The 27,119-nt window shown below is 34.8% G+C and overlaps 1 protein-coding gene and 1 pseudogene across 10 annotated transcripts in view; one reads left to right on the top strand and one right to left on the bottom strand.

Moving 5' to 3' along the window:
* Positions 1–27,119, bottom strand: part of TMEM117 (transmembrane protein 117) — a 603,307-nt gene that overhangs the window by 130,967 nt on the left and 445,221 nt on the right. The window lies entirely within an intron of this gene.
* Positions 19,129–19,761, top strand: LOC100294713 (IQ motif containing F1 pseudogene; annotated as a pseudogene).

The raw sequence follows: 27,119 nt of genomic DNA, 5'->3' as shown, positions 1-27,119 counted from the left end.
TGTCATGATCAAGTAGAATTTTTTCCAAAGACACTACAACAAAGGAAAATTACAGACCCATAACCTTTATAAAAATCATTAAAAATTAAACATAGAACTACCATATGGTCAAGGAATCCCACTACTGGGTACATATCCAAAGGACATGAAATAAGTATGTTAAAGAGCTATCTGCACTCCCATGTTCAATGCAGCATTGTTCACAGTAGCTGAGACATAGAAACAACCTAAATGTCCACTGATGAATAATGGACAAGGAAAACATGGCATACATAATGTCCTCCAGCTTCATCCATGTTATCAAAAATCACAGCATTTCCTTCTTTTTTAAGGTATTCAGGCTTATGTTGAATAAAGTAAGTCAGACACAAAAGGACAAATACTACATGATACCAATTATAAGATGAATCTAAAATTGTCAAACTCATAGAGGCAGTGAATGGAATGGTTGCTAGGGACTTGGAGGGAGAAAGGAGGGTCAAAGGTATAAACTTTGGTTATACAAGGTGTGTAAGTCCTAGAGATCTACTGGACAGCATAGTGCCTATAATTAACAATATTGTGTTGTAAACTTACAATTTTGCTAACAAAGTAAATCTTAACATTAATTATTCTTATCATACAAATAATAATAAAGAAATTGGGAGCAAACTTTTAGAGGGGATGAACAAGTTCATGGCATAGATTGTGGTTGATGGTTTCACAGTGTATTCTTATTTCCAAATTCATTAAGTGGTATATATTAAATATGTACAACTTTTTGTATGTCAATCATACCTTAACTATTTTTAAATAATCAATTTTATTTCTTATACACTAGTAATGAACAATCTAAAAATGCAATTAAGAAAAAGATTTCATTTATGATAACATCAAAAAGAACTAAATATTTAAAAATAAATGTAACATAATAAGTCAAGGCCCATACACGGAAAATTACAAAACATAGTTGAAAAAATTAAAGAAGACGAAGATAAAAAGAAATATATTTTATGTTTATGTGTTGAAAGATTTAACACCGTTAAGATGGACATACTCTTCAGATTGATATACATATTCAATATAATCCCTACCAAAATCCCAGCTGCTTTATTGGCAGAAATTGACAAGCTAATCCTAAAATTCATATGGAAATGCAAGGGACCCTTGGCATAAAGAAAGATATATACATAGGCAAAACAGAATTGAGAATCCAAAAAGCAACCCATATATATACATCCATGGTCAATTGATTTCTGACAAGGCTGCCAACACTATACAATGGGGAAAAGAATAATCTTTCCAACAAATGGTGTTGGGACAACTGGAAAATCACATGCAAAATAATGAAGTTAGATACTATCCTATACCATATATAATAACTCAAAATGGATCAACAACCTAAATATAAGAGCTAAAGCTATAAAACTCATGAAGAAATTATAGGAATAAATCTTTGTCAACTTGAGCTAGACAACTGTTTCTTAAATGTGATACCTGAAGTCTGACCAAAGAAAATACAGATAAATTGAACTTCATCAAAATTAAAAACATATGTGCTTCAAAGGACAGCAAAATAAATTGAAAATGCAAGCCACAAACTAGGAGAAAATACATGCAAATCACTTATCAGATATGTGCCTTATATGCAGAATATATAAAAACTCTTACAACTCAACCATAAAAAGACAAATAACCCAATTTAAAAATGGGTAAATATTTTAAATAGACATTTCTCCAGGAAAGATATAAACATGGCCAGTAAGCACATAAAAAGATGCTCAGTATAGTCATTAGGAAAATGCAAATCAAAATGAGATAGCAGTTCACATCCACTAGGATGGTTACAATAAACGTGACAGACGATAATAAATGTTTAAGAGGATAGAGAACAATTAGAACCATCATTCATTGCTGGTAGGATTACAAACTGCTATAGCCAGTTTGGTAAGCAGTTTGGTAGTTCTTCAAAATGTTAAATGTTACTATATTACCCAGGAGTTTTTTCAAAATGTTATAGGTTTACCATACTATTCAGCAATTTCACTTCTAGCTATACACCCAAGAGAAATAAAAACATATATCCATAGATAAAGTATGTGAATGTTCATAGCAGCATTATTGCTAATAGCCCCAAAGTAGAAACAACCCAAATATCTATCAAGTCATGAATGGGTAAATAAAATTTGCTTTATCCATACAATGGAATATTACTTGTGAATAAAAAGTAATGAATGATTAATAAATGCTCCATAATGGACAAACCTTGAAAGCATTATGCTAAGTGAAAGACTAGCTAAAAATACCACATAGTGTATTATTCTATTTATCGAAATATCCAGAATAGGTAAATAAATAAAGAGAGAACACAGACTGATGTTTTCCAGGGCCTGGGGAAGGGGAGAATGGGAAGCAACTGCATAATAGGTAGGGCGTTTCTTTTGGAGTGATGAAAATGTTTCAGAATCAGAGAGAGTGGTTGTACAGTATTATGAAAGCCCTAAATGCTACTAAATTGTATAGTTTAAAATGGTTAATTTTATGTTATGTCAATTTCACCTCAATAAAAAAATAAAGGTTGGAAAAAAGAAACTATTTCCCAAACGGGTTCACTTGTCTCCATCTTCACTATTCACCTTCTAGTCAAAGCTCTGCCCTCTCTCACCCAAACCACTGACATAGCCTTCTAACTGGAATTACTGCTTTTAGTTTTGCCTCTCTATGATACATGCTCCACAGAGCAGCCAAAAATGACCTTTTAAACTTAAACCAGATCCTATCACTCACTTCTTCCAGTAGTGTGTCATTGCACTTAGAATGAAATCCGAATACCCTACCTTAGCCCCACTACATGATCTACACCTTGTTCCCTTCTCCAAAGTCATGTGGTACCATTTTCACTCTGGCCCTTCCTTTGTTTCTGGATCATAACAGCCTCCTTTCTGCTGTGCAGCCTTTGGATTAGTTGGTCTCTTTCCTTTACTGGCTTCTCGTTATATAGTGTTCCGCTTAAACCTCAGAGAGTTCTCTAAACTCCCAGGCAAAAGTAGCCACCTAAACACTCGTTTCTTTTTGTCATAGTATTTTACTTCTTGACAAGCATCTTCAAAGCTGGTATTTTCTTTGGCTTGTTTCTCATTCGTTTCTTTATCATCTACTATCCCCAGAGCACATATTTTGGAATTATACTGCTAGGTTTCTAATCCCAGCTCTGTCACTTTTGGGGCAAATTATAATATCTGTACATAATTCATAAGGTTGTTGTGAAGCTTAGATGTAATTTTTATAGAATGCTTAAAACTTTAGTAAATGCTAAAAAGCTGTAGTATATGCTAGTTATTATTATTATTTATTTTCAATTCTTTTAGTGATCATCCATATAAATGATGACATTTGGTATGATTTTCATATATTCAAACCACATCTTTATATTTTTTTCTTTTTCTGTTGGTTTTATGTTACCTAGAAAAAGCATCTGTTTTTTCAGATTTCTATGGTTCTGTGAGCAGTTTCATCCTTCTGACATACATACACTATCAAAATAATAAAAGTTGCTCAGTCCTTTACTTCCCTTGCAGCAATTAGGTGGGACATCTCTGCTGTCCTTATCCCTTCCCTAAGAGCTTCCCATCAACATTCTTCTTATCTGAGGGATCTGTGAGTAGCCTTCTCCAGTCTACATATTCCTTCACAAATACCCACCTCACAGAAACACTGGCTCCAGTGTCCTGAGAGCCACAGAGTTAAGGTAACAAATATGGAGGGGACTAGCATAGCTGATAGGGGATTCTGAAGGTACAACACCACATTCACATTTGTGCTTGGTGAGGGAAAAGTAACTGTCTTAGGGTGAAGCTTCAGTAATAGTTATAAAATCAAGGAAGTGAGAGGGCTCACTGAGAAATGGCTTTTGAATTTCCAGCTAGTGGGAGATCATCCAGGTAAACAACAAAGATGAAAAACAATGATCAAATAGACAGAAAAACAAACTTGTCAGAAAAAAATAGGTTATCTCCTAAACACTCATCAACTTATAGTTTTACCATATTCACTGAATCTTTTGTATATGTAGACAGTCATTGCTATTTGTAGGTATACTGAGAACTCTAAAGTCTTTAGAAAGCCATGAAACTGACATAGCAACATTTTAAAGCATAAAACAGGGATTCTAATTGAGTAGAACTGTTGTAAAACATCACACAATTCTATTGCTCTGAAAATATTAATATGATCCTCCAGGATACAAATGCACCTTCACTGAAATAAATTATGAACTAAAAGTATTCTTGATTATTTTATCTTACAAAGTGAAGAGACTGTATATTTTATATTTATATTTTCCATGCACAGTGGTCTGTTCTTCCATTATCTTTTCTTATGAGAGGCATAATGACAAATAAGTCCAAAGAATGTGTAGCATTATTATGGCAGATCAATCAAATGGCTAATTACCCCTCTTATCTAAGTGGCATTATCTTGCTTTAAAGGTGATGAAAATAACAAATGAAGAAGTTATTTCGTTTTTTAAAAACAATTCTGTAAGGAACCAGTCTATCACTGATGGGCATTTGGGTTGGTTCCAAGTCTTTGCTATTGTGAATAGTGCTGCAATAAATATACATGTGCTTGTGTCTTTATGGTAGAATGATTTATAATCCTTGGGGTATATACCCAGTAATGGGATTGCTGGGTCAAATGGTATTTCTGATTCTAGATCCTTGAGGAATCACCACACTGGTTGAACTAATTTATACTCCCACCAACACTGTAAAAGCATTCCTATTTCTCCACATCCTCTCCCCAGAATCTGTAGTTTCCTGACTTTTTAATGATCACCATTCTAACTGGCGTGAGATGGTATCTCATTGTGGTTTTGATTTGCATTTCTCTAATGACCAGTGATGATGAGCTTTTTTTCATATGTTTTTTGACCACATTAAAGAAACACCACAGAGAAGCAGATTTCTGAGAAAACTTTGTTATAGATAAAAGCAACAGAATTTATTTCACGATATTATTAACTTTTCAAAGTGAAAATGCTATTTCAAACACCAGCCTATTTAAAGTGTTAACTTATAAATGTCATTGCCTGTCTGTGACATAGCAAAAGAAAAGTCACAGCCTTATAAAAAGCACAATTTCAATAAAGAATTATTGCATAAAAAATAGAGCACAGATTAAAACAAAGTCTGGTTGTGAGAATTTTTCTTACTTAGTTTCCATTCTTAAAGTAACTGCTTCATTTTAGTAAGACAGCAATATTAAAAATGAACCTCGGCGGGGCGCAGTGGCTCACGCCTGTAATCCCAGCACTTTGGGAGGCCGAGGCGGGTGGATCACGAAGTCAGGAGATGGAGACCATCTTGGCTAACATGGTGAAACCCCATCTCTACTAAAAATACAAAAATATTAGCCGGGCGTGGTGGCACGCACCTGTAATCCCAGCTACTCAGGAGGCTGAGGCAGGAGAATCGCTTGAACCCAGGATGCAGAGCGAGATTCCATCTCAAAAATAAATAAATAAGTAAATGAACCTCATGCAATGAAAATCATGGTAGATCACATTAATTTAACTGCTACAGAATTATATGACAGCAAATCACATGAAACTTTTTTACTCTGGTGGCTATCTTAGTATGAAGGTCTTTTATACTTTTATAGTTTGGACAAGATAACCTCTTTCATTTCCATCAAACACGTGGGTTTGTGGAAGCAACACGAATGAACAGACTTCTCTGTTTTACTGGTTCTACCAGAATAACCACAGGATCCTTGGTCATGTTTTAACTCTCTCTTCAGTTTTCTACTTTCTGCCAAGGGAAAATAAAGTTTTCTTGCTATATTTATATTACATAGCTTCCTAAAACTAAACAATGTATGAGTATAGTATATACTAGACACTGGAATTCACACATGTACATACACACCGCATAGTGTGTGTGTACAAATGGAAAAATTTGTGGTACTATCAAAATTTTAGCCTATTGACTATAGTCAGCATAACCTTTTACACTTTTTTCTCCTTATTTTAAAGGCAGGACTTACTTTTTGCATAAAATATTCAGGAAAGTCTCTGGAGAAGCTGGTTCACACCTACATTAATCCTTACAGGTATTTCTTTTATAAAAACTCCACATGGATTTCCTTTTAATAGCAAAAACATTGGCTGTTTACATTCCATTTCATTAAACAAGGTAATTCTCCACCTTTGAACAAAAGTCATTAACTTGTAATTCATACCCAAATCAATAGAGAATTACAATAAGATGAATCTTGCAGGGTGTAAAGGAAAAGCTAGTTCAGAACTTCATTCAGAAGGGCTTCCTGGCTTGCTTTAATTGAATTTCACTCCAATGCTTTGTTCCAAACACCATCCAAAATGCTGCGCATGTGAAGGTTTCTCAGAGATTCCTACTTCTCAATTTACCACTAAACTGGGAAAATTACTGTGGTTTTCTTTATAAGCGAAATGTCATAATAGCAACAGCAGGATTATTCAACACCATCGTACCTTCCATCTATGTTCCTATTATTCAAATTGGACTGTTTCCTTAAGCTTTATTTTTTTAATATGACTTCTCCCCATAGCGATACTATTGATAAGAATCTGTAGCATCAAGTTTTTTTAAAATATAAACCTTGAAGCCAAAGCAGTACCAAGACAGCCCAAATCCTCAGTAATATCAAAAAGCTTTTTATCCATTGTGCAAAAAAATCCAGACTACTGATTTCATAAATACCAAAATTTCAGAATTGTTTTGCATTTTCCACATTATAGTTTGATATTTTAAATCAGATAGCACGTGAGAACATTAGTTTTCCAGTTAGGCAGAGTCGTGTTTGAATCTTTACTATTTACTGATTAAGCAATAATAAAAGCAAGCTATTTACCTTTTCTGAGCCTTAGCTTCTTCATCTGAGATAGCGATAAGCCACCCTTCAGTTCTTTACTGAGTTAATCATGTGAAGTGCCTATAAGATTGCTCCATAAATAATTTCTGTTTTATAGACATTATTGATTTTTTAATTGATTTTTTTAAAAAAATGTTTTAAGATGGACCAAAGATCCAATACGCATTAATGTAACTTGTATATACTCACAATTTTAAAATCTATTTTAAAAATCCAAGACATAATTGGATAATGTCCTGTAAAGGACATAGTTATCAGTTAATAGAGATTATTATACAAGAAACATGCTATATAAAGTTCAATGTGCCACTCACAATTACAAAATAGAATATTTTAAAAGCAGCTTGCTAAAAAAATTTGTCTCTCTTTTTACTTGTGGAGTCTGATTAAGATACTTAAATCTCAAGATTTATGCCCATCTGCCTCTCCTCTCACTGCCAGGATCTATGATTTGCACATGGTTTTCCACTGTGAAACTAGCTGGGGTGGGAAGGGGTGGAGGATGGTTTTAAACAAGACAAAACAAAACTAATCTCTATCCGTAAACAGATATTTGTTTTTCCCTTCTAAACTCATGTAGTCTGAAGTACATGCTGGGGCAAATGATAACCAAAGTAACCAACTTTAAAATAATTTTATGACTAGAGCAATTTTCCCTTATATTACCAAATAATAAATACTGTATGTTTCTATTTGTTTTTGTATTTACCATAGAGGTTAATAATAGATATTACCAATGGATTAAAAATAGAGGATATTAGAAAATGGAAAGTTATTTACTAGTAAGCACTTTTTCTTTGTAAGTATGAATTACAGCATCCTTTAGGTACAATTTCATTTGAAATCACACAGCTTCTCATCATGAAAGGAGTCTTTGTACTTGTGCACCTGATGGCCGAGGCAGCATATGAGGAAAGGTTTAGACTCCACTTAGCCAGAGGGCAAGTCAAAAAATCACAAGTGAGTCTGTAAGACACAATCTCATTACCATAAAAATTACCAGTGTAAATACGGTGGTAACTCAAATTGCTGAAGAACATGCTTTCTCACCTTTCACTAACCTGCAGATATCTGTGGCAATAATGGCCTTAGTGGCCAAGGCAGGTCTTCTGGACAGAAGAGCTAAGTGTCATGGAAAGACGCTTCTTGTACCATCGGTCCCTACGTTGGCCTGGGAGCAGTAGGGAAAATGTCCACAGCCAATTCTGACCAGTGAAACCAATTAGCAGAACCTAGTCAAGGGAGGTTTCACATGGTGTTCTAAATGTTCTCAGATATCATATAAATCTCCAAAATTTTTCATGGCGGTTTTTAAAATAAGAAACGATTGGTTCTTAACTAAAAATCATTACATAAACTGATGTCCTTCATTCTTCAACTCATCAAATAGCAGTAGTGCTAAATGTGGGCCAGGTTACAAATAATTTTATAACGAGTTCTTGTTGCTTTTTAAAAATACATGTTTCAAATGCTTTTTTTCTAATTCAAATACATAATTTTAATTCAAAAAGGGTAATTCTATTTTTAATATGGCCACTGTTATTATTTACTCATTATAACAATAAGGATGCATGGAAACATTTAGATAAAGTTCCTATTTCAGTGAATGCCATCACTTACTATTCCTTGTGGAACATACTTAATTACCTACTAAGGTTGGAGAAGTCTTGTGTAACTTTTACCGACAATTATCGTAATGACCATCATCATTCCCAAAGATCAATTTAACATAACTCCTTGAAAGAAGTCCGTATCTTCATGAATTTCCTGGAAAGTCTTAAAATAGAAAGAAAAGTATTTGCGCAGTGAGACCATAAAGACTGACAAACTTTGCTTTGAATCCTGACTCAGTCCCTTTAGTAAGCTTTGTAATAATCATATTAAACATGTTTTTGAATCATCTGAGATTCAGTTTCCTCATCTTAAAACTGCAGTTATAATAACCACATCATAGAGTATGGTGAAGACTATGTGAGATAATTTATATAATTCACACAGCACATTGTAGGGACTCATATTGTAGGTTGCTATATAGCTGGAACATTTAGTATAATGCTGGCCACCTCAATACCAAGAGAGCTCACTCCATTAGCGGAGCTGCTGTACCTCCTATGCAGTTTAGTAAGAAACAATGACATGGGAAATGCTAAAGGGATAACAGAACACTAATATGAAAAGTGAAGTACATTTTTATATTTTACTCAAATGTTTTGTATACAAAGGCAGAAATACAACACAAGCCACAAATCAATAAAATCAATTTAAAATTATGAATTTGATATTTTATATTTTTTCTTAATGAATTCTTGACATCCATGGTGACTTTATGCTTACAGCACATCTCAATTCAGACAAATTTCAAGTGCTCAGTAGCTATATGTAGCTAATGGCTCCTGTATTAGAAAATGAACATTAATGAACATCTGGCTGAATTCATCAATATTCATCTCAATGTTCCAGCAGTCTCTGGACACAGCCACAACTACACATTTGCTAATTCTGTAAAGTTTATATGTGATTCTCAAGGATAGCTGTATTCTCCACTGAGATGACTTAAAAGAAACCCTGACTATTGAATTGTGAAAAGCTTTCCAAAATAAAATGTAATTACAAATGTTTTGAACCAATCTTTAATTATTTTTTCAAAAGAGTTTGAATAAATATAGATTCTTTCATTTAACAAGGTTGATTTTTCTTCTGTTAAGAATTTAAATAACAGAAATGTCAAAACACTCTAATCTTTTTTTTCCTGGTGATGCTTTAATGTTAAAAATATTTCTCTAGAATACACACCATATGTCATGAGGGAAGAAGAAAAAATGTTTTCCATAAGTGAATGAAACTTCATAATCAGCCATATGAGCTACAAGTCTTTTAAACTCTTGAAAGAAATAGAACAGCCATTACTCAATGAGGCCACGGCTGCTCATTATACATAGACAGTAATTACCTGAGGTAAGAGGAACTAATGTCAAAAATATATAAAAACATTTTTGAATGTAATAGAATGAACAGGGAGGTCATTTATGCTTTGGAGGGGTTTGTACTATCTAGCATCAAAAATTACATAAAAAATGCATTTTGTTGATAAATGCCCACCTAATGCTTTGGTAGCTACAGAGTTGAATTCAAAGCTAAGCCAAGATAAAGAAATTCCTTGGGAAAAGATAATTAAATCTCTATTATGAAAAAGGTAATTTTCAAACTATGTTCTGTCTTCTCATAAAGGTAATAAATATTAATAATCTCCAGGTTTCCTAATCTATTTATTTTAAATATACTGGATTAACATTATTCTAAAGAATACTACTAAAATTAACATAGTTATGACTTAATAGCAATGAGTTCAGAAAGATTATGTCAAAAATAATTCTGGCAAAATCCAAAAACATATGTGCATAATATATACTTTATTTAAAAATAGAAACACCATATTTTCTCATAAATTTCCTCCTTATTGCATATGATATATTTTTGTTCGGAGAGGAAAATGTAAAATAAGCTGTGTCTCCTGTATAATGTGTTTTATTCAGGGTGCAGCACCAGAGACATGGGTGTCAAGTGGGATCTATGTTGGAGTAGTTGATTTGGCTTTAGGATGCCAAAGGTAGTGATTTACAATGAAATCTATATGGCAATTTGCCCCAATACCAGTGAAAATTCTGGTCAGGAGAAAAGGTTTTATGTAGAGGAGAAACTCGAAATCAGATATTAGTAGCAACTATTGTTTCAAGCTACCAGTCCTTTGAAGACACAACCCTAGCAAGTAGTTGAGGATATGACAGGCAAGGTCCTTCCTCTACTGGAGATGGCTAAAAGGACTAGACATTGTGTCAAGATCTGGATTCGAGACAGAGCTCCAATCCCAAAACAGAATGGTAAAGACAAACAACAAATGGAGTGGACACCTATATATAGAGAGAGAGTCAACGTGTCAAAAGGGTGAGAAGAATCAGCAAATGGATAGGAGTGCAGATGCCTACGGCTCCGCTCAAGCACATAATATTGAGCCCAGGGCAGCAGGACTACTTCTAAACCACCGTAAGAGGAAAACTCTTCCCATGGGTGTGCAACTTCTCCTTCTCTCTGCCTCTTTCTTCTTTGCTTGAGTGATGTGTTCTCCAATGACCTAGCATATAGGCTATTTGAGGATTCGATCAAGTCACATACAAATAAACATCTAGTATGCAATAGATATTTCATAAATCCTTTCTTCCTTTATGTGAAGAAGGGTTAACTAGGAGGAATAAAAAAGTCATTTGTCAGGGTCAGCAGGGACCCAGTCACAGACCAGGAAAAGAGAAGGCAGTAACCATAGAACATATATGTGTAAATAATGGCCAAGTTACAAACCCTTTTAGGAAAGACTTAAAACCAAACAATCATTATATACTGAGACAGGTAAAATCAATAACCTGTAGAAACAATTGCACATATTTAAAAATAATGATGATGCTTCAAGGGTATTGATTTTTTAAAACAAACGTTTCTTTGATTATCCTAAATAATGCTATTCTGAGAAACAGAAATCAAGTAAGATGAAAGCCCATGTTATTTTATACATTTTAATTGCATCTGCAAACACTTTTTGGGGTTTCTGACATCATATCAATTCCTATTGCATTATATTACTACTGGATATATCTTTCATCATAAAACTCAAGAATGCATAGTAATCTATAGCAGCAAAATTCCACATTGTATAAATCTACATCAAAATTCACATGAAATATCCATGTATTATTTATAAGAGTAATTTCATCTTGTGAATCTGATCAAATTATAAATAATGAGATGAAACCTGAAATGGAATTTAACTTTATTGAAATATGTGATTGCATATTTCTTCCTTCCTTCATATTTAAAAGGTTAAAACATGACATTTTGGGTCCACATTCAATAGTAAGTAGTTTAAATATAATAATGAGATTCCATATATCTGACCAATGCAATAAAAAAGCAGGCAAAAGTCTTGTTCCTTTCAACATACATACATTGTTTTATATGCACATATGTGTAAATATAAAATTTTTATATAAATTTAAGTATACATAAATTTATATATATCCTTATTCTGTGGGTATGTATGTGTATATGTATGCACATAGTGTGTACATATGTGTTTATGTTTATTTTTAATTTAAAGTTTTACAAAAATGCTGACCACAAATGATGTTCCTAACTAGTGTTTTTAGTAATATGAGTTATAAATGACTTATATAAATAATTTAATATAAAATCTGCTTGAGGATATGAGGAATGGTCTGGATTGGCTTTCTGAGTCAGGTTATTAATAATTTGCTTCACTGAACAACAATACTATAGTTATCATCAGTGTCCAGTAATGACATTCTCTTTCTGAAATATGAGGATTGTTTTCCAAAACATATTTTCCATGTTAAAAAATATTTTTTAAATGCTAATAGAAAAACACAGAAAAGGGTATAGCGGAAAATGAAATTATCCCTCCAGTAATGCAGTGGTTGATTTTTTGCCAGTATTTTGTTATTCTTTGGCTGTATTTTATTCCTGTATTTTCTCTATACCTATGCATGTATATGTGTATGCATGTGTCTGTGTTACCAAATTGTGATCCTACCATGTCCAAGTTTATATCCTGCTTTTACAATTAACTGCTTACATTGTGGATATTTTTAAGAAAAATCAAACACACTATCATTCAAACATGCTATCTTACACAGCTGTGTAATATTCCATGATATAAATTTATCTAACTTACTTGGACTCGTTATTAGACATTTAGTTACTATATGTCATATATGTCAGTGTTATATGTCAGTATTATAAATCCTAGTTAATATCTGGTACTTTCAATTTGCATTTCTCTGATGGCCAGTGATGATGAGCATTTTTTCATGTGTTTTTTGGCTGCATAAATGTCTTCTTTTGAGAAGTGTCTGTTCATATCCTTTGCCCACTTTTTGATGGGGTTGTTTGTTTTTTTCTTGTAAATTTGTTTGAGACTGTAAACTAGTTCAACCATTGTGGAAGTCAGTGTGGTGATTCCTCAGGGATCTAGAACTAGAAATACCATTTCACCCAGCCATCCCATTACTGGGTATATATCCAAAGGATTATAAATCATGCTGCTATAAAGACACATGCACACGTATGTTTATTGTGGCACTATTCACAATAGCAAAGACTTGGAACCAACCCAAATGTCCAACAACGATAGACTGGATTAAGAAAATGTGGCATATATACACCATGGAATACTATGCAGCCATAAAATATGAACAGTTCATGTCCTTTTTAGGGACATGGATGAAACTGGAAACCATCATTCTCAGCAAACTATCGCAAGGACAAAAAACCAAACACCGCATGTTCTCACTCATAGGTGGGAATTGAACAATGAGAATACATGGACACAGGAAGGGGAACATCACACTCCGGGTACTGTTGTGGGGTGGGGGGAGAGGGGAGGGATAGCTTTAGGAGATATACCTAATGCTAAATGACGAGTTAATGGGTGCAGCACATCAACATGGCACATGTATACATATGTAACAAACCTGCACATTGTGCACATGTACCCTAAAACTTAAAGTATAATAAAAAATATATATATATATATCTGGTACTTTCTTAAGACTCGCCCCTAGAAGCAGAATAATTACTGAATCAAGGGTATGACTATTTTATGGATATTTTCCATATTATAAAATTTATTTTTTGAAAGGTTGATTCAAATTACACTCTAGCAGTAGAGTATGAGAATGTTTACTTTTATCTTTTCTAGTAAAAACTTTTTAAAAATCTGGGCTAATTTGATAGATGAAAATGGTACTTAGAGTTTTCATTTCATTTTGTGTTATCAATAATGAGGTTTTTATTTTGTATATTTAGAAGTCATTTCTATGCATTTTTCTGTAAACTGTCTACTTCATAGTGTTCTTCTAATTGATTGATTCTCATCTACTGAGACTATTAATCCTCTTCATACTAATTAAAAACAACTTTCTAGCATGTAAGTCATTTTCAATTTTGTTGATAACTATTTTCTGTCAAGAATATATATATTTTATGTAGTTCAATATATAAATCTTTTTACTTGTGGTGATTTTTCCTTTTAGGCTTAGAAATCTTTTACAGTTCTCAACTCCTCACACATATGCCATTGTAATCTATATTTATTTTTTATTTTTTGCTTCACAGTGGTTATTGTTGTCATTGAGTTGGTTAGCCTGCTTCTATGTTTTTTTTTTTTTTTTTGGTCAAATGAGGTGAAGGGGAAAAAAAATGATGATCAAACTTCACTTTTTTCCAAATAGATGATTTTCCAAGTTTCTCTACTGAGGATAGAAATGTTCTCTGCAGTTTTGTAATGTTTCTTTGAGAGAGAGAAGGTGTGTGTGTGTGTGTGTGTGTGTGTGTGTGTGTGTGTGTGTAGGAATTATCAGTATAGCACAGTAGCTTTTATGCAAGTTCTGAAGTCACATTGGATTTATAACTGGCTTTACCACTTACTAGTGCATCACCTTGAACAAATGATCTCTGTATGCCCACATTTTCTAAGTGTAAAGCATGGATAACAATAATGTCAGCTTCACTATGATGTGAAAATGGCATAAACTAAGCACACAAGGAACCTAGAGAGCACTAGCTCACCTGCTGAGTTAATGGACCCAATCAAGCAATCCTGGATTCTAATCTCTAGATTTGGCTGTGGGAAAAGGGAGCTCCTTATAACCCACAACTGAAATTCAGCATCTCTGCCCTGTGGCTTTCAATTTGGGGAGGCTCATATCGGGTCTTTTCTTACCCTCTGTCGACCTCAGCTTTAGGATTTTGAGTGGATTACTGATCTCCTTTTAAGGTGTTCCCTTAGGATAGACTGAACTTTGCATAAATCATAAAAGACAACATTTTAAGTTCATCATCCTGAACATCCCTTCAAATATGGTGAAAATTTTAGCAGTATTTATCCTGTCTCTTGATTCTTGGACCAGTAACATAATGTTTTAATTTTTGATCATATAATTTAAAAAATAAATCTAACAGGTTAAATATGTGCTCCCTCCCACACACACTCCCCCTATTCATTAATGTTTAATTAGTTATTCTTTTCCTGTGTTTTGACAGGTGATTACACATAAAGTAGAAAGATAATGTTAGAAACATATCATTTTAAACCACAGTCCAAAAATTCACTTGGTTTATAGACATTTGTGTTTCACACAGCAGTAATATTTCTTAGTTAGAGGGTTGCTTTTTTCCTTTTTTTCTCCTCTTTCTCCTTTCTGTTCCTCCTCTTTTTCCGACCTCTTCTTCTTTTCTTTGCTAAATAATTAATAACCACAACCATTAAATTTTACTTCAGAAGCTTTATTATCCTCATTTTTTCTGTAGTGAAATTTTTCCTGGACAGGAGTGGGACTGACATGTCCATACTGCCCCTTTAATGCCTCCTCTGTGTCAAAAATATCCCGCTAGATACTTTTCACAGTCCTGTGGGGAAAACAACTGAAGCTTGGAGGGTTCAATAAGGTGCTCCAGGTTATGTAACTGATAAAGGGATTCCATCCCAGTATAAATCAAACCTGTGTAAACATCAAAGCCAAATCCTAGACAACTATTCTATAAGACTTAACCAAGGGATGTGCAAATGAAGAGGATGGAGCCCTGATTACATAATAGGGATTGGGAGCAGACTTCACAAAAAATGGCATTCAAGCTGAATCTTTGCTTTTTGTTTTTTGTTTGTTTGTTTGTTTGTTTTTGAGACAGAGTCTCACTCTGTGACCCATGTTGGAGTGCAGCGATGTGATCTCAGCTCACTGCAACCTCCACCTCCCAAGTTCAAGCGATTCTCCTGCCTCAGCCTCCTAAGCAGCAGGGATAACAAGTGTGTGCTGCCACACCTGGCTAATTTTTGTATTTTTAATAGGACGGGGTTTTGCTTTGTTGCCCAGGATGGTCTCGAACTCTGGACTTAAGTGATCCGCCTACCTCGGCCTCCCAAAGTGCTGGGATTACAGGTATGAGCCACTGGGCCTGGCCACAGGCTGAATCTTTGGATATGGATAAAGTTTAATAGGTGGAAAAAAAGGAGAAAGGCCTTGTAGGCAAGGGTAGAGCATGATCAGAGTCACCAGAGACGAAGCATGCAGCAAGCTTGTGAAACTGAGAGAAGACTGTAGATAAATTGAAGCACTGATATGTCAAGAGACGAAAAAAGGCTAGCAATGAAGGATGAGCTAGATGCTGTAAAGCCTTGAACATTACGCTAAGAAGTACGCAATTTTTTTCTTTTTTCGCCTGTAAGTAAGGAATCTGCAGTAAGGGAGTAGTGAAGGAGGGGTGGGGTGATCTCTGGGTAGGAAGTTACCACTAAGATAGTAACAGTTTCTAAGAGTGATCTGATCCAATCCACATTTTAAGAAGCTAATGCTGAATGTTTTTGTTTGTTGCTTATTTCTTTGTGGCCTCTGAAATTTTTGTTTGACATATGTAGAGGTAAATAAATGACTTTAAATATTTTCTTTGACCACCCAGGGTATAGAGTTACTAACTCAAAGACTAGTTAGGACTGTTGGTAGATTCAGTGTCAGCTAATAAGGTTATTTGATATTTCCAATTATTCTGTGGTTTGGGTTATAAATTAATCCAATATATACTTTTTTTAAATCCATCTTACATATAAAGTAATGAGCTGTAAAATGTGTCCTTAGTGACGTAGGGCAGTGGTCATACTACACTTGGCCTCATGTTACTATCACAGATGATTAAATGCCAGTTCTCAGTGAAGCTAAATCTATCATCTTATAAGCTACCCTTAGGATTTCATCAATATAAAAAAAGCATCCAACCGATGGCCTTAGAGGCCTTAAATACCAGTGTCCTGAAAGAGGCTTTGAAAGCAACAAGCTTTCACATCTCATAAATTGGCATGACAGATCTGTCAGTAACCACATTTTAAATGCCTCCCTGGGATTTCAAGTTTCCATTTTAGAAGACCTGTTTTCATTTTATATCCCATTAAATTATGATGATACTTCAGCTTTTTCCTTTAATAATGTTGTAAATCTAATTCAAAGGTGAATCCCTGGGCTTTGTAGTGCATCCATCAGAGGTGTCATTCACTCTGGAGTATCAGCCCTCAACCCTATGACACCACGGCATCTTGGACAAGACAATATGTAATGCTGAGTCAAGACGTGCACCAGAGCAATCATGTGACCAAGAACCCTCTCAAAATCTTTATTTTTATTTTTATTTTATTTTACTTTAAGATCCGGGATACAAGTGCAGAACGTGTAGGTTTGTTACATAGGTATACATGTGCCATGGTGGTTTGCTGCACCTATCAACCTGTCATCCAGGTTTTAAGCCCCGCATGCATTAACTATTTGTCCTAATGCTATCCCTCCCCTCGCCCCACACTGCCCACACTGGCCTCAGTGTGTGTTGTTCCCCTCTGTGTCCATGTGTTCTCATTGTTCAACTCCCACTTAGGAGCAAGAACATGCAGTGTTTGGTTTTCTGTTCCTGCGTTAGTTTGCTGAGAATGATGGCTTCCAGCTTCATCCACATCCCTGCAAAGGACATGATCTCATTCCTTTTCATGGCTGCATAGTATTCCATGGTGTATATGTACCACATTTTCTTTATCCAGTCTATCATTGATGGGCATTTGGGTTGGTTCCAAGTCTTTGCTATTGTAAATACTGCTGCAATAAACATATGTGTGCATGTGTCTTTATAGTAGAATGATTTATATTCCTCTGGGTATATACCCAGTAATGGGATTGCTGGGTCAAATGGTATTTCTGGTTCTAGATCCTTGAGGAATTGCCACATTGTATTCCACAATGGTTGAACTAATTTACATTCCCATCAGCAGTGTAAAAGCGTTCCTATTTCTCCACAGCCTCGCCAGTATCTACCGTTTCCTGACTTTTTTATAATAGCCATTGTGACTGGTGCGAACTGGTATTTCACTGTGGTTTTGATTCGCATTTCTCTAATGATTAGTGATGCTGAGCTTTTTTCATATGTTTGTTGGCCACATAAATGTCTTCTTTTGAGAAGTGTCTGTTCATATCCTTTGCCCACTTTTTGATGGGTTTATTTTTTTCCTGTAAATTTGTTTAAGTTCCTTGTAGTTTCTGAATATTGAACCTTTGTCAGATGGGTAGACTGCAAAAATTTTCTCCCATTCTGTAGGTTGTCTGTTCACTCTGATGATAGTTTCATTTGCTGTGCAGAAGTTCTTTAGTTTAATTAGATCCCATTTGTGAATTTTGGATTTTATTGCAATTGCTTTTGGTATTTTAGTCATGAAGTCTTTGCCCATGCCCATGTCCTGAATCGTATTGCCTAGGTTTTCTTCTAGGGTTTTTATGGTTTTAAGTCCTACAATTAAGTCTTTAATCCATCTTGAGTTAATTTTTGTATAAGGTGTAAGGAATGGGTCCAGTTTCTGTTTTCTGCATATGGCTAGCCAGTTTACCCAGCACCATTTATTAAATAGAGAATCCTTTCCCCATTGCTTGTTTTTACATGGTTTGTTGAAGATCAGATGGTTGTAGATGTGTAGTGTTACTTCTGAGGTCTCTGTTCAGTTCCATTGATCTATATGTTTCTTTTGGTACCAGTACCACGGTGTTTTAGTTACTATAGCCTTGTAGTATAGTTTGAAGCCAGGTAGTGTGATGCCTCCAGCTTTGTTCTTTTTGCTTAGGATTGTGTTGGCTACACAGGCTCTTTTTTGGTTCCATATGAAATTTAACGTAGTTTTTTCTAATTCTGTGAAGAATTTCAATGGTAGTTTGGATGGCAGTAGCATTGAATCTATAAATTACTTTGGAGAGTATATCCATTTTCATGATATTGATTCTTCCTATCCATGGAACCCTCTCAAAATCTTGACCATATTTGGAATTTTACCCGTTGTATGGATTCTAGTTGTTTGCTAATTCTATCTCCTGCAGACCTCAGCCTAGAATAATAAACATGTAACTTCGACAAGATATTAGTAGTTGTATACCACATACATTTGAATACAAACCCCTGGAAACACACACACACACACAAAACCCTCCCAACCTTTCCCTACATTAAATATCTTTATTTCCTCTCTTGCTCCTGCTCTGCTATGTGAGATGCCTGCTCCGCTTCACCTTCTGCCATGAGTAAAGGGTCCTTGAGGCCTCTTCAGAAACTGTGCAGATGTCAGCACCATGCTTCCTGTACAACTTGCAGAACAGAACTAATAGGAAGCAGCCTAAAAAAATGAATAAACCCACACACACAAAAGATGAGCCTGAGCAGAAGGACATGCTGGCCCATTTTTCTTCGGGACCATTAACCTCAAAGTTGAAGGCAGAGGCCAAAACTCTGGCTCTGGTTAAGACACAAACAGTGGCTAATGCCAATGAGAAATTTGGAAAACCCCCAGAAAACCAAAAGAAGCTCTCTGACAAAGATATGGCAGTCATCAAGATCCAAGCCTGGTGTTGGGGCACCCTGGTGCATCAGGCACTGTGGAACACAGCCCTCAGCACCTGGATCATTCAGTGCTGATGGTGGCTGATACTGTCCAGGATTCTGGAGATGAGGCAGTGGGCAGGCAGCATTGGAGGACTTCTCACGGGAGGAGTGGGCAGCAGTCACACCGCAGTCCCTAGCCCACATGTGCCACATCTGCCAGCGCTAATGTCACATCCTCAATGCTGTCTGCATCATCCAGGGCTACTGGAGGTGCCTCTGTGTTTCCTGGGGGCTCATCAAGGTTCATTAGAGAGTGATGGCCAACCGCTTACTCTTGAGCTGGAGATCTTGAGGAATTGGCAGGGCTTGTCTGCAGCCCCATGTGGAGAAGGACTCTAGTCCTTATCTAAACTGAACATAAACTGTGTTTGATGAGCAATGTCTGCCATAGGAAGGAAAGTTCAGGGTACAGATCGGTCAATTAGCCAACTCCAGGAAGCATCATTCATGTTTGGTCTATGTAAATGGTGCACCCTCCCCAAGACTGGGTATAATGGAAGCCTTGGGGCTGATAGTGATGGCAATAGCATCAAATTCTCCAGAAATTCACCCATCTGGGTCTAGTTGCTCAGGGTTTGTTCCCTGAACCACACGATTGAGAGGAGTCCACCCATCCCAAACCCTGTGATCCTGTCTCCCCGCCCAACTGGGGGCTATATCCTCATACTTGGCTTCTGAGTCAGAACCTGAGACCCAAACTGGAAGCTGTTAGCATAACCCAAGTCCTCATTCTCATCTCAAACCCTACCTTTCCCTTGCCCTCAAGCCCCACATGGAAGCTAGAACTCATTTCCTCCAGACAAGCCTGGCATAAGAGGTTCCACAGGCAAGGCGGTGGGAGAGAGAGCATTCTGCTGCCAGCCCAACCCTCTGGTGAGTGTCAGACCCCAGGCTATCACAGCACCCTCTCCCCAGGACTAACCTCTTCAACGACTGGTCCAGGCAGAGTTGGCTCCTCTGAAAGTTCCTTCCTGTGAAATACTGCCCCCTGGCATGGGGTTGGGGCATAGGTGATGATAAAGGGCCGATTAAGAGGTCAAGGTTTGCGCTGCTCTGGTGATTAGTGATGCTGAACATGGTTTCATACATCTGTTTGCCATTTAGCAAAAAACAGTGTAATGTATATTTCAGGATACTTAGAAGATTTTGAATGTTGTCACCACAAAGAAAGGATAAATGTTTAAAGTGATGGATATGGTAAATACTCCAATTGATCATAATATGATGTATAAATGCACTGAAATATAACATTGCACACCATAAATATGTACAATTGTTGTATCAATTATAAATTTAAAAATAAAACAAGAAAAAATATATCCTTGTTTCTCTGGCATTTAAAAACAAAGCTTGAGCATAAAAGAAAATGTTGCCGTCTCATCCTGTTGCTATCTCCCCCTGAAATTTTTCCATAATTTAATCGGTGGTATTATAACACAGTAGCACCATTATTTCCTAATAGTATAAAGTTCAGCTAGTTAGTACCATACAGACTTCGCTTTTGAGAGAGAAAAGTAATGATCTGAAGATACAGATTGCAGCAATCATACAAGTGAACTGTAATTTGAAGGCCTAAATACCACTGCTGTGAGCAGAAATAGGAGTTTTGCCTATGCCAATACTTTCTATTAAATGGGCTGAAGATTGCCTGACATACTCTTAAGAGTGCCAAATTTATTAATGAGGCAGTGTTGGGTATCTAAATGCAAATCAAAAACTCCCATTCTCCCCTCTCTGCCTGTACTTCTTGAGATGATTAAAAATAACCACTGCTTCTGAGTGACTGTCACTCAAAACTCTGTGCAGGATGCAACAGATGCAGGGCCCAGCAATGTTTTTAGACCATCAAGCATCGGCTCACTGGAAGGTGCTGAATAAATTAAACCACAAATATAAACCCCAGGTTGATGTGTTCGAACTTCTCAGCAAACATTCTTCATACATATTTAATTGCTCCATTGAGACTGTTACTGTTTGGAGAGGTTCCAGGCATTATTTCCATTCCATTAGTAAGCTTGCAGGGTGTCTACTTCTTAACCCAAAATGATTGATTCTATAAATGCCTTTCCACTGACTGACCTGGACGCTAATTGAGTTTGTGTATATATTAAAAGAAAAAGTGTGTTTTCAGAAAATGTTCAACATATATTGCTGTCACTTAAATTCCTTGTAGCAGGAGAAAGTGGCATGTCTAAATGATGACACTAAACATCTTATCTGAATTGGCTTTTTAAAATACAGTGTGCAGCAAATTAAGTTACAATGCTGGAAAAAAGCAGCGAAAAATACATTTTTCAAGGCAAAAGCAAACAGTCTTCTTTAAGAAGAGCATAAACATTTGTGGACATATTAATACCTTATTCTGGCAGCTTCCAATTCTCCTTGTGGTTAATGTATTTATTGTAAGAAAACATATAAATTTATTTTATTCTATTACATAAAAATAAAACCCAGAATATCTTATTATTTAGTTCTACTAGGGAGGGAAAACTAAATGTTTCTTAAGATCTTTTACAAACATATATCAAAATAGTAAAGTGTCCATTACTGTACTTGCAAAAATAAAACTCCTACCTTTATGCATGGTTCATAAAAATTAGATATACGTAAGTAATGTTAATGTAATATGACTCAGCTTGAGAAACTGAGCTTATAATTCTCATATTTATTTATCTCTTTGTTAGTCTGTAGATGCTGATCAAATTAAAATTCTTAATGCTCTAACCTAATTTAGAACAAGTAAAAGTAGTTTTTAAAAAATGGTGCATACAATAATTGTTTTGGATAATTCCCATACGGAGTTATTTTGATGCTATGTACATTGTATATAAAATGTATTTCTTTTAAATGGTCATTTCCAACCAATAACTGTAGGCTAATTTGGGATTATAGAAAGTTCTGTTTTCCTGACTGATTTTTTCCTAACAATCATTCTAATGTCCACCACAAGCACTCTCTTTAGTCATCTTACTATACTATCCAGAGTTCTCAGCAGCATTTTGTTAGTTGCTCCCTAAGCTTTTTCCTTAAATAAGTAAATTGAAAGAAATAAAAGGTATCCAAATAGGAAAGGAAGAAGTGAAATTCTTTCTGTTGATGACTTGATCTTATATATAGAAAATACTAAAGACTCCAACAAAAAAAAAAACGTTAGAACTGATAAATAATTCAGTTAAGTTGCAGGACATAAAATCAATATAAACATTAGTAACATTTCTGCATGCTAAAAACAAACTATTTGAAAAATATTTTAAAAAACAATCCCATTTACAATAGCATCAAAAATTAAAATGCTTAGAAGTACATTTAACCAGGAAGGTGAAAAATCTGTATGTTGAAAACTATAAAATATTGATGAAAGAAACTGAAGAAAAGACAAATAAATGGAAAGATATCCAGTGTTCATGGATTGGAATAATTAACATAGTTATAATTTCTATACCACCCAAAACAATCTACAGAGTCAAGGCAATTGCTACTATAATTCCAATGGCATTCTTCACAGAAAGAGAAAAAAAAACTCTAAAAACTCTAAAATGTGTATGGAATCACAAAAGACTCTGAATAGTCAAAGCAGTCTTGATCCAAAAGAACAAAGCTAGAGGTATCACACTACCTGATTTCAAAATATATTACAAGGTTATAATAATCAAAATAGCATGATACTAACATAAAATAGACACACCAACCAATGGAACAGAACAGACAGCCTAGGAATAAGCCAACCAATTTATAGTCAATTGATTTTTGACAAAGAAGACAAGAACATACAATAAGGAAATGCAGTATCTTCATAAGTGGTGCTGAGGAAACTGATACCAAAATACAGAAGAATAAAATTGGACCCTTATCTCACCTCATATACAAAAGTCAACACAGAGTGAGTTAAAGACTTAAACCTAAGACCTGAAACTATAAAATAATTAGAAGAAAACACTGAGGAAAAGATCCATGACATTGGTCTGGGCAATGATTTTTTGTATACGATCACCAGTTGCCTAAAGACAAAATAGACAAATGAGATGACATCAAATGAAAAGCCTACTGCATAGCCAAGGAAATAATCAACAGAATTAAAAAACAATCTGTGTAATGGAAGAATATATTTGAAATCAATATATTTGATAAGGGGTTAATGTCTAAAGTATATAAAGAACTCAAACTATTCAATATTAAGAAAAAAAAATCTGATTAAAAATGGGCAAAGGACCTGAACAGACATTTATCCAAAAAAGACAAACACATTAGTTTGCCTAATGTTGAATTGTTTTGTGTTGCTAGAATAAAAATTATTGGATTATGGGTGGAGAAAATACATACAAATGGCCAACAGATAGACAAAAAAAATGCTCAAAATCACTAACCATCAGGGAAATGCAAATTAAAACCGCAGTGAGACATCACCTCACACCTGTTAGAATAGCTATTATCAAGAAGACAAAAGATAAGTGTTGGTGAAGATGTAGAGAAAAGGGAGCCCTTGGACACTGTTGGTGGGAATGCAAATTAGTGCAGCCATTTTGAAAAACCATGTGAAAGTTCCTCAAAACACTAAAAATATAATTACCACGTGATCCAGCAATTCCAAGTCTGGATATATATACAAGAGTATTGAAATTAGTATGTCAAAGGTATATGTCACTCCCATGTTTACTGTAGCATTATTCACAATAGCTAAGATATGAAATCAACCTAAGTGCCCATCGATGGATGAAAGGATAAAGGAAATGTATATACATACAGCAGAATACTATTCAGCCTTAAAAATGAAAGAAATTCTGTCACTTGACAACATGGATGAATCTGGAGAACATTATGCTAAGTGAAATAAGTCAGGCGCAGAAAGACAAGTACTGCATGGTCTCACTCACTTATGTGTGGAATCTTAAAAAGTTGAATGTATAGAAGTAGAGAGTAGAAGATTGTTGCCAGAGGTGGGAGGGTGGGGGGTGGATGGGGAAAGAGAAGATGTCAGTCAAAAGGTTCAAAGTTTCAGTTAGGAGGAATAAGTTTTAGCGATCAGAATGGCACAGCACAGTGACTATAGTTAATAATAACGTATTTTATATTTCAGAATTTGCTGAAGGAGTTTTAAGTGTATCATCACAAAGAAATAAGTGTGTGAAATAATAGATATGTTAATTTGCCTGATTTAATGATTCTATGATATACGTGTGTGTATCATAGCACCACATTGTACCTCATAAATATATATAATTATTACTTGTCAATTAAATTTTAAAAAAGGATAACTGGTTTGAATGCATTTATACTTTAGTTATTATTTATTTAAAATTAGTATTTAATCTAATTTTTACATTTTCAGGAGTGTGTAAACTCTCAGGTATAGCTTTCTAATTGAGTCTGTTGTTAAAGTATACAAGATAATGACCTATTGACCCATTTCTAGATATTCTATAAAGACATTAGTTCTATTCTGACCTAAATCTGATAATGCTATCATTGAAAAGGTAACATACAAATAAATACAAGAGAGATTCAAAAATCAAAGATCAGTAAACAGGCAACCTACAGAACAGGAGGAAATATCTGTGAACTAGGCATTTGACAAAGGTATAATATCTAGCATCTATAAGGAACTTAAACAAATTTACAAGAGAAAAACAAACAACCCCATTAAGAAGTGGGCAAAGGACATGAACAGACATTTTTCAAAAGAAGACATACATGTGGCCAACAAGGATATGAAAAAATGCTCAATATCAGTGATCATTAGAGAAATGCACATCAAAACCACAGTGAGATACCACACAAGTCAGAATGGCTGTTAATAAAAAGTAAACAACACGTGCTCACGAGGTTGCACAAAAAAGGGAACACTTATACACTGTTGGTGGGAGTGTAAATTAGTTCAACCATTATGGAAAGCAGTATGGTGATTCCTCAAAGAGCTAAAAATGAAACTACCATTTGACCCAGCAATCCCATATATATAATACAGAATATAGAATATAATATATAGATAGACTATAATATATAGATAGAATATATCTATATGTATAGATATCTATATACATATATAATATGTATGGATATCTATACATATAGATATAATATAATATATATAGATAGAATATAATTCATTCTATCATAAAGACACATACACACAAATGTTAACTGCAGCACTATTCACAATGGCAAAGGCATGGAATCAACCTAAATGCCCATCAATGACAGATTGAATAAAGAAAATGTGGCACATATACGCCATGGAATACTATGTAGCCATAAAAAAAGAATGAGATCATGTCCTTTGCAGGGATGACGATGGAGCTGGAGTCCATTATCCTTAGCAAACTAACTCAGGAACAGAAAACCCAATACCACATGTTCTCACTTACAAGTGAGAGCTAAATGATAAGAACTCATGAACACAAAGAAGGGAACAAGACACTGGGGTCTACTTGAGGGTGGAGGGTAGGAGGAGGATGTGGAGTAGAAAAAAAATAACTATTGGGTACTAGGCTTAATACCTGGGTGATGAAAAAATCTGTACAACAAACCCCCATGACATGAGTTTACCTATATAACAAACCTGCACATGTACCCTTGAATCTAAAATAAAAGTAAAAAAAAAAAAGACAAATTATCTGGGAGTTGACTGGAAAACATGATGAGACTTGAGGAGAATGTTAAATATTCACAAAGAGATTTCTGAACTCCATGCAGAGCAAGAAGGAAGAAACAGAGCCACGTCAACCTTATTTTGTAAGTAACATAAACTTATTCTCAAATTTAAACAGGAAAGAGAAGAATAGCCAAGCAAATTCCGAAAAAGAAAAAATAAATGGGGACCATTCCTCCACATGTTAAAATATTTTATAAAGTTCCACTGATTAAAACAATTTAGTATGCATAGAAAGATTTTTAAAAATGGATCTATAGAGAAGACTAGGAAGTCCAGAGATTAGTATATAATGCCAATGATATATCAAAACTGTGGGGGAAGATGAATCATTCAACAAATTGTTGTGGGACTACTGTTTTGCCAGCTTTAAAATATCATGGCATGTTTCTTATCTCATAACATATGACAAATTCCAGATGGATCAGAGGCCTCAACACACAAAAATAAAGGCACAAAACTACCAAAAGAAACCAAAGAGAAAATGTTTTTCATAATCTTGGAGTAGGAGAGCGCTCTAATAATAACAAATTCTCGAAGTCATCAACAGAAAGGTTGATAGATTTGATCACGTAAAAATAAAATATTTCTGCGTGGCAAAAAATTGTCCACTATCACCAAATAATAAGAAAATTATCAATCTCATTCAAAGTAAGAAAAATACAAATTAAAACAACAAGGAATCACTATGTCTTTTTAATCTATCAAAGACAAGGATTAAAAATTTTGATATTATACTGTTTTGGTAAAAGTGTCTGACAAAGCCCAAATTATCAGATATGGTCAGCCCTTCTTATGTGCAGGCTCCACATCTGTGGATACAATTAACATCAGATCAAAAATATTTGGAAAAAAAGCATAAAAAAAAAACACAATAAAAAATAGTACATCTAAAAAACCAATAAAGTATAACAACTGCTTATATTGTGTTTTACATTGTATTAGATGTTATACATAATCTAGAGATGATTCAGAGTGTAAGGGAGGATGTGCATGGGTTATATGCAAATACTAGGGCATTTTATACAAGGGACTTGATCATTCATGGATTTTGGTATCCACA

The sequence above is a fragment of the Homo sapiens genome, chromosome 12 (assembly GCF_000001405.40).
Source record: "Homo sapiens chromosome 12, GRCh38.p14 Primary Assembly".
NCBI lineage: Eukaryota > Metazoa > Chordata > Mammalia > Primates > Hominidae > Homo > Homo sapiens.
Note: the sequence above shows the minus strand (reverse complement) of the source record. Positions and strands in the feature narration are given on the sequence as shown.